This window comes from Homo sapiens, chromosome 17, assembly GCF_000001405.40.
Source record: "Homo sapiens chromosome 17, GRCh38.p14 Primary Assembly".
NCBI classification, from domain to species: Eukaryota; Metazoa; Chordata; class Mammalia; order Primates; family Hominidae; genus Homo; species Homo sapiens.
The window spans coordinates 41,710,007-41,717,406 of NC_000017.11; the positions used below are offsets into that span (position 1 = coordinate 41,710,007).

General features: G+C 50.1%; 1 protein-coding gene across 1 annotated transcript; it reads left to right on the forward strand.

Annotated features, from left to right (window-relative positions):
* On the forward strand, positions 2,325-5,963 carry GAST (gastrin). Its single transcript, NM_000805.5, has 3 exons — positions 2,325-2,381; positions 5,426-5,641; positions 5,772-5,963. The coding sequence occupies exons 2-3, from the start codon at positions 5,431-5,433 to the stop codon at positions 5,864-5,866; spliced, it is 306 nt and encodes a 101-aa protein (NP_000796.1). The 5' UTR covers positions 2,325-2,381; positions 5,426-5,430; the 3' UTR covers positions 5,867-5,963.

Here is a 7,400-nt window from a genome sequence, read left to right on the forward strand (position 1 = left end):
TCCTTTTCCATCAGACGAGGTCCCCTCATGAGGAGAACGTGCAGTCCGTGACTGGGGAGCTCCTCAGGGTCAAGGATGCTCATCTCTGAATGCAACCCTTCCCCTGCAGACCTGGCAGGGTCTGCAAATAGTGACATTCTTTTTTTTTTTTTTTTTTTTTTTTTGAGACAGAGTCTCGCTCTGTCACCAGGCTGGAGTGCAATGGCATGATCTCAGCTCACTGCAACCTCTCTGTGCCTCCCAGGTTCAAGCGATTCTCCTGCCTCAGTCTCCCGAGTAGCTGGGATTACAGGCGCCCGCCACCATGCCCAGCTAATTTTTGTATTTTTAGTAGAGTCAAGGTTTCACCATGTTGGCCAGGATGGTCTCGATCTCTTGACTTCGTGATCCACCTGCCTCAGCCTCCCAAAGTGCTGGGATTACAGGAGTGAGCCACCAAGCCTGGCCAAATAGTGACATTCTAACCATTGCCTATGGAATAGGAGACATGCTTCTATTTGTTGAAATTGTCATCCCTCATGTAACCAGCCTGGGGAAGAACATTCAAGGGGGCATAACCCCCTCCATGGGCACAAACTGAGTCTTGGGCTCTGGTACAACCAGGGTTCTACTGAAAACTTATCATTTCCCATTAGTGTTACCATAGCAACACGAATGTCTTCATTCATTCCCCTAGTGTATGAACAGAGCTACACTCACCCCACCTGTTCTCCCAAGCCCCCTCAAAGTCCTTTCATCTCTGAGATTCTGTGATTCAATTAATTATCACCAATGCCTGCACTGCTTTTTGTCGTTTTCATTTATTCCATCTGCTGAGTCACCGTGTCCTGCTCTAGATGAGAGTGGTTATTCACAACGGTTATTCAGCCGTCAGTTGCCATGGACACCGCACAGCCTGCTTCCTTCATCACCCATTAATTCTCAGCAAGGCTGGCTGTAAGCATGGGTACCACTGCAGTTACCCAATACCCAAGGGGATCAAACTCTCCCAGAAAAGGTGGGGGCCCAATGACGCATGAACAGGAGCAAAATCTCTGCTCTCAACAGTGGAAAAGTAAAAAACAGCCTACGGCTCATTACATCTGGTCAAACCATGTGGAGGCAGCAGTTTATCAAATAAGTCAACAAGGTACCATTTTGTTTTCTGGTCCATCTTTGGCAAATGCTTTAGTCTGTTTGCTAACCATTTGAAGGTATATTTTGATACTGAAAAGTTGTTGGCTGGGCATGGTGGCTCACGTCTGTAATCCCAGAACTTTGGCAGACTAAGCTGGGCCGATCATGAGGTCAGGAGTTCGAGACCAGCCCGCCCAACACGATGAAACCCCATCTCTACTAAAAATACAAAAAATTAGCCAGGCGTGGGGGCGTGCGCCTGTAATCCCAGCTACTAGGGAGGTTGAGGCAGAAGAATCGCTTGAACCCAGGAGGCGGAGGTTCCAGTGAGCCGAGATCACACCACTGCACTCCTGCACTCCAGCCTGGTGACAGAACTAGACTTTGTCTCAAAAAAAAAAAAAAGTTGTTATGCAGATTACTAGCTCCCCTTGAAAGCAAAATGAAGGAGGCTTCAAAGGCAGGACCCTCCAGGAATTGGTTCTGCATAGGGGGTTTGCAAGTGGTGGTGCATGGGCAGCTGACCTAGAAGACACGGGGCAGCTACAAGCCAAACCCAGCCCAGCACAGAGGGCCTAAGGAGAAGAAGGCACCAAGGGTGTTCCATGGTAGGGGGAGGGTGAAAGGACTTCAGAGGTGACCAGGATGTGAGCCACTAGAAGGAGAGAACAGGGCCATCAGCCCACAACCCATTGCTCCTGGTAACACGTTATGTTTGCAGAGTCCAGTGGAGGGGACGGGGAATCAATACATCACCCCACATTCACACGCTTGCCAAACATCAGTGGATGGCGAAATCCACTTTCCCTGAATCTAAGCCCATCGGGTTCACTCCCTCACCTACCACCACCCACAAAGGTCCCTATGTAGTTCGAGAGATAAGTGCCAGGCCTCTGACCCCCAGGATATGGTGGGAAGCATTGCTCCTGACCCAGGGAGCTTGGTTCCTGCCCCTCAGGTACAGCTGGAGAGCTGCCGCCACCCCGCTCCAGCCCCTCACCATGAAGGTCAACTCCCCTATCCTTCCCCCACATCCTGGATGACTGACTGACACTAAATGAAAGGGCGGGGCAGGGTGATGGGCTGTACCTGTGCCCCACCCCATTCCTCTCGCCTGGACTCATATGGCAGGGTAGGGGCGGGGTGGGGGGACAGTTGGGAGGGACCTTGAGGGCTTTATAAGGCAGGCCTGGAGCATCAAGCAGAGCAGAGACCTGAGAGGCACCAGGCCCAGCCGTGGCACCACACACCTCCCAGCTCTGCAGGTGAGAAAACCCAGGAGGAGAGGGGAGAGGCTAGGAAGTGGGTTGACAGGTCCTCTCCCCCATCAAGGTACCAGGCCACTGGCCAGAGTCTGGGGCTCACCCCTTGGGGTCTCCAGAGCTGGGACCCTTTCTTTATCCCAGGATGGAACTAGGTCTTGGCTCCAGTACCTACCCTGGTATTCCCAACCTTGCCTTCCACCTGCCCTTCTGCCGCAGCCGGGGCCCTGCCCTTAGCCTATCCCTTCACACTCTTCCCAGCCCTGGGAGGTGAGGAGGACTGGGGTTCTTCTCCTTTCTCTCAGACAAGAAAACTGAGGCCCAGAGGCAAGATGTGACTTGCCCAAAGTCACAGGGATTATTAGGCAAGGCTGGGATAGGAATCCACAGCTCCTGGATCCCACTTCAAGCCCTTTCCTAGACCAGTGCCATCCAAAAGAACGTCCTATGATGCAGGAAATGGTCTTCATCTGCACTGTTCAATATGGTAGCCACTAGCCACGTGTGCGCTTGAAATGGGGTTAGTGTAAGGAAGTTTTTGTTGTTGTTGTTGTTTGTTTTTTTATATAGAGTCTCGCCGTGTCACCCAGGCTGGAGTGCAGTGACATGCAACCTCTGCCTCCCAGGTTCAAGCAATTCTCCTGACTCAGCCTCCCGAGTAGCCGGGATTACAGGCGCCTGCCACAACACCCAGCTAATTTTTCATATTTTTGGTAGAGACAGAGTTTCACCATGTTGGCCAGGCTGGTCACAAACTCCTGACCTCAAGTGATCCAACCCCCTCAGCCTCCCAAAGTGCTGGGATTACAGGCGTGAGCCACTGCACCTGACCATAATTTTTTAATTTAATTAATTTAAATGTAAAGAGCCACATGTGGCTGGTGGCTATAGCACTGAACAACACATGTGGTTAGCATCTGACAATACAGCTCCAGATCACTGATTTTTCAAACATTTCTTCAGCAGCAGAATTCTTTTCTTCCAAAGAAAACCTAACAGAAAACCTGATTATGAAAAACTTAATGGCCAGGCACCGTGGCTCATGCCTGTGATCACAACACTTTGGGAGGCTGAAGCAAGCAGATTGCTTGAGCTCAGGAGTTCCAGACCAGCCTGGGCAACATAGTGAGACCTCATCTCTACTAAAAATAAAAACAAAAAAATTAGCTGGGCATAGTAGTGCACACTTGTAGTCCCAACTACTCAGGAGGCTGAGGTGGGAGGATCTCTTGAGCCCAAGAGGTCGAGGCTGCAGCGAGTCAGGATCACGCCAGCCACTGCATTCCAGCCTGGGAGACAGAGCAAGATTCTGTCTCACAAAAAGAAAAGAAAAAAAGAAAAACTTAAAAGCAGTACAGTATTTTATTAATACAAATGTATTCTGACAAGAGAAAATTTTTATCATTTTCTTATGATAAAGCCAATCAGAATAGTGAGACCAAAAGCATACAAAAATAGTGAGTCCAGGGAATAGATGAGCATTTGAATTTTATGTTTGTTTGAGATTCCAGTTTAGTTCTGTATTATGTTTTCCCCAAACTTGATTCACCCTGATACATAATTGCTAATGGTGACAGCTTAATTTTTTCTTAACTGCTTCATTATAATCACAGGATATTCCTCAGTTAAGCAAAAATGACAGGAGAACCTTTCCTCTCAGGGCTGCACAAAAATCAGTGTGAGCTGGCCAAGCATTGAATGTGCTGCAGTCTCCAAAGTGATAACATGCGGTCTGTAACACAGCTGGATGTCCATGTTCCTTTGGTATTACTATTTAAAAGTTTCACTTTTTGTTTTTGTTTTTTTGAGACAGGGTCTCACTCTGTCGCCCAGGCTGGAGAGCAGTGGTGCAATCTCGGCTCACTGCAACCTCCACCTCCCCGGTTCAAGCGATCCTCCCACCTCGGCCTCCCAAGTAGCTGGGAATACAGGTGCATGCCACCATGCCTGGCTAATTTTTGTATTTTTTGTAGAGATGGGGTTTCAGTATGTTGCCCAGGCTGGTCTCAAACTTGTGGGCTCAAGGGATCCATCCTCCTCAGCCTCCCAAAGTGCTGGGATTACCATGCCTGGCCTAAAAAGTTCACTTTAAATAACAAGTCTTGGGCTGAGCACAGTGGCTCACATCTGTAATCGCAGCACTTTGGGAGGCTGAGGCGGGAGGATTGCTTGAGCCCAAGAGTTCAAGACTAGCTTGGGCAACATGGTGAAACCCTGTTTCTACAAAAAATACAAAAAAAATTAGCTGGACGTGGTGGTGCAAGCCTGTAGTCCCAGCTCTTCTGGAGGCTGAGGTGGGAGGATCACCTGAGCCCAGGAGGTAGAGGCTGCAGTGAGCAGTGATTGCACTACTGCACTGCAGCCTGGGCGACAGAGTGAGACCCTGTCTCAATAAATAAATAAATTACATTACTTAAACAGCTACAGAACCACTAACATGGCCTCAAATTCTGCAGAACAGAACCTAGGGAAACCATTGCCCTAGGATTTGACTTTCTCCAATAGAAGCAGTGGCTGTAATCGGGGTAGGTAAAGAGAAAAAACACAAGACTTCGGGGCTGGTGTGGAACTGGCAGAAACTGGAGAACTGATCTGAAGAAATAGTCCACAACTCCACACAGAATTGCAGACTCACCCGGGTGCGGTGGCTCATGCCTGTAATCCCAGCATTTGGGAGGCCGAGGCGGGTGGATCACCTGAGGTCAGGAGTTCGAGACCAGCCTGGCCAACATGGTGAAACCCCATCTCTACTAAAAATTACAAAAATTAGCCAGGCATGGTGGCACGTGCCTATAGTCACAGATATTCTGGAGGCTGAGGCAGGAGAATCACTTGAACCCGGGAGGCGGAGGTTATAGTGAGCCGAGATCCCACCACTGCACTCCAGCCTGGGCAACAAGAGTGAAACTCTGTCTAAAAAAAAAAAAAAGAAAGAATTGCACACTCATCAGCAGGTAGAGGCCTGGAGCCACATGGTTCAGTCCCCTGCCTCTGGGCCTCTGTGGGGACAGCCTCACCCTTAAGCTAGTCCCTTCTCCCCTTTGCAGACGAGATGCAGCGACTGTGTGTGTATGTGCTGATCTTTGCACTGGCTCTGGCCGCCTTCTCTGAAGCTTCTTGGAAGCCCCGCTCCCAGCAGCCAGATGCACCCTTAGGTACAGGGGCCAACAGGGACCTGGAGCTACCCTGGCTGGAGCAGCAGGGCCCAGCCTCTCATCATCGAAGGCAGCTGGGACCCCAGGGTCCCCCACACCTCGTGGCAGGTAGGAGCTGCTGACTGCCCTGCTTGCCTCACTTGGCCAGGTTTGGCCAAGGTCTCCCCAGACTGGCTCTGACTTCAGTTCCTGGAAGGTAGGCATCCTTCCCCCATTCTCGCCTCTCTCACCTCCTCAGACCCGTCCAAGAAGCAGGGACCATGGCTGGAGGAAGAAGAAGAAGCCTATGGATGGATGGACTTCGGCCGCCGCAGTGCTGAGGATGAGAACTAACAATCCTAGAACCAAGCTTCAGAGCCTAGCCACCTCCCACCCCACTCCAGCCCTGTCCCCTGAAAAACTGATCAAAAATAAACTAGTTTCCAGTGGATCAATGGACTGTGTCAGTGTTGTAGGGCAGAGGAGGGGGACTCATCTGGGGGTGAAGTTGTGGCAGGGAGAAGAGCTGAGTGCCTCTTAGGGGCAGGGACCCTGGCTGATTCTTCTTGGGTCCCCCAGAGCCCCACATTGAACGAGAATCCACAGGTATGGGCAGGATAATATATGGTAGGGTTCATAGCCAGAGTAACCTTTTTTTTTAATTTTTATTTTATTTTATTTTTGAGATGGAGTTTCGCTCTTGTCTCCCAGGCTGGAGTGCAATAATGAGACCTCAGCTCACTGCAACCTCTGCCTCCTAGGTTCAAGCGATTTTCCTGCCTCAGCCTCCCAAGTAGCTGGGATTACAGGTGCCCGCCACCACACCTGGCTAATTTTTTTGTATTTTTAGTGGGGACGGGGTTTCACCATGTTGGCCAGGCTGGTCTTGAACTCCTGACCTCAGGTGATCCACCCGCCTCGGCCTCCCAAAGTGCTGGGATTACAGGCATGAGCCACCGTGCCCAGCCTCAGAGTAAGCTTTTTAAAAGATAAACCGTGTCACACTCGGTTTTAACGTTGCAATGTTTCCCAGTGCACTTAGAATACAACCTGAACTCCCTGCCACAGCCCTGAAAGCTAGCCCTGAGGTTCTCCTCCCACTGTGCGCCAAGTGGCTTCCTTCTCTTTGTCCTCTCGGTCCTTTCCCTTACACAGACACGCCATGTTCTCTCTTGCTCAGAGCCTCCGACCTTGCCATTCCCTGTGCCTGCAACGCTCTTCCCCAGGCACAAATATGGTGGGCTCCCCTTTCCTCCTTAGCTCTTGGGTGAAATGCCTCTTCCTGAGAGACCTACCCTTTCTGCTCCTCACCCTTCACACATAGACCCAGTTATTCTCTACCACAGGGTCAAATAAAAGAGAAAAAATTAAGCTTTTTAAAGAATGAATGCTAGTTGTATTCAGAAGTCTTACAGAGGACTATAGATTGAGGCCTCCAGCCCAGGAGCAGGCTCTGGCACAATGTTTCAGCCCATTGCTTATATACATCTGGGGGCTAAAGGTGGAGGTTCCGTATGTGCAAAATCCCATCAGACTTGCTCAGAATTACATGACAGCAGAATCACAGCAAGATTTGGGTCCTAGATCACAGAGGCATCATCACTAACCTCGTCAGATGTCATCTTGGAAATGTTCTGTGTCAGAAAAGCCAGGGACTAGGATTATTTCTCTTTTAAGAAACGTGAAGACTCAAGCCGGGCGCAGTGGCTCACATCTGTAATCCCAGCACTTTGGGAGGCCGAGGAGGGTGGATCACTTTAGGTCAGGTGCTCGAGACCAGCCTGGCCAACAAGGTGAAACCCCGTCTCTACTAAAAATACAAAATTTAGCCAGGCATGTGCCTGTAGTCCTGGCTACTCGGGAGGCTGAGGCAGGAGAATTGCTTGAA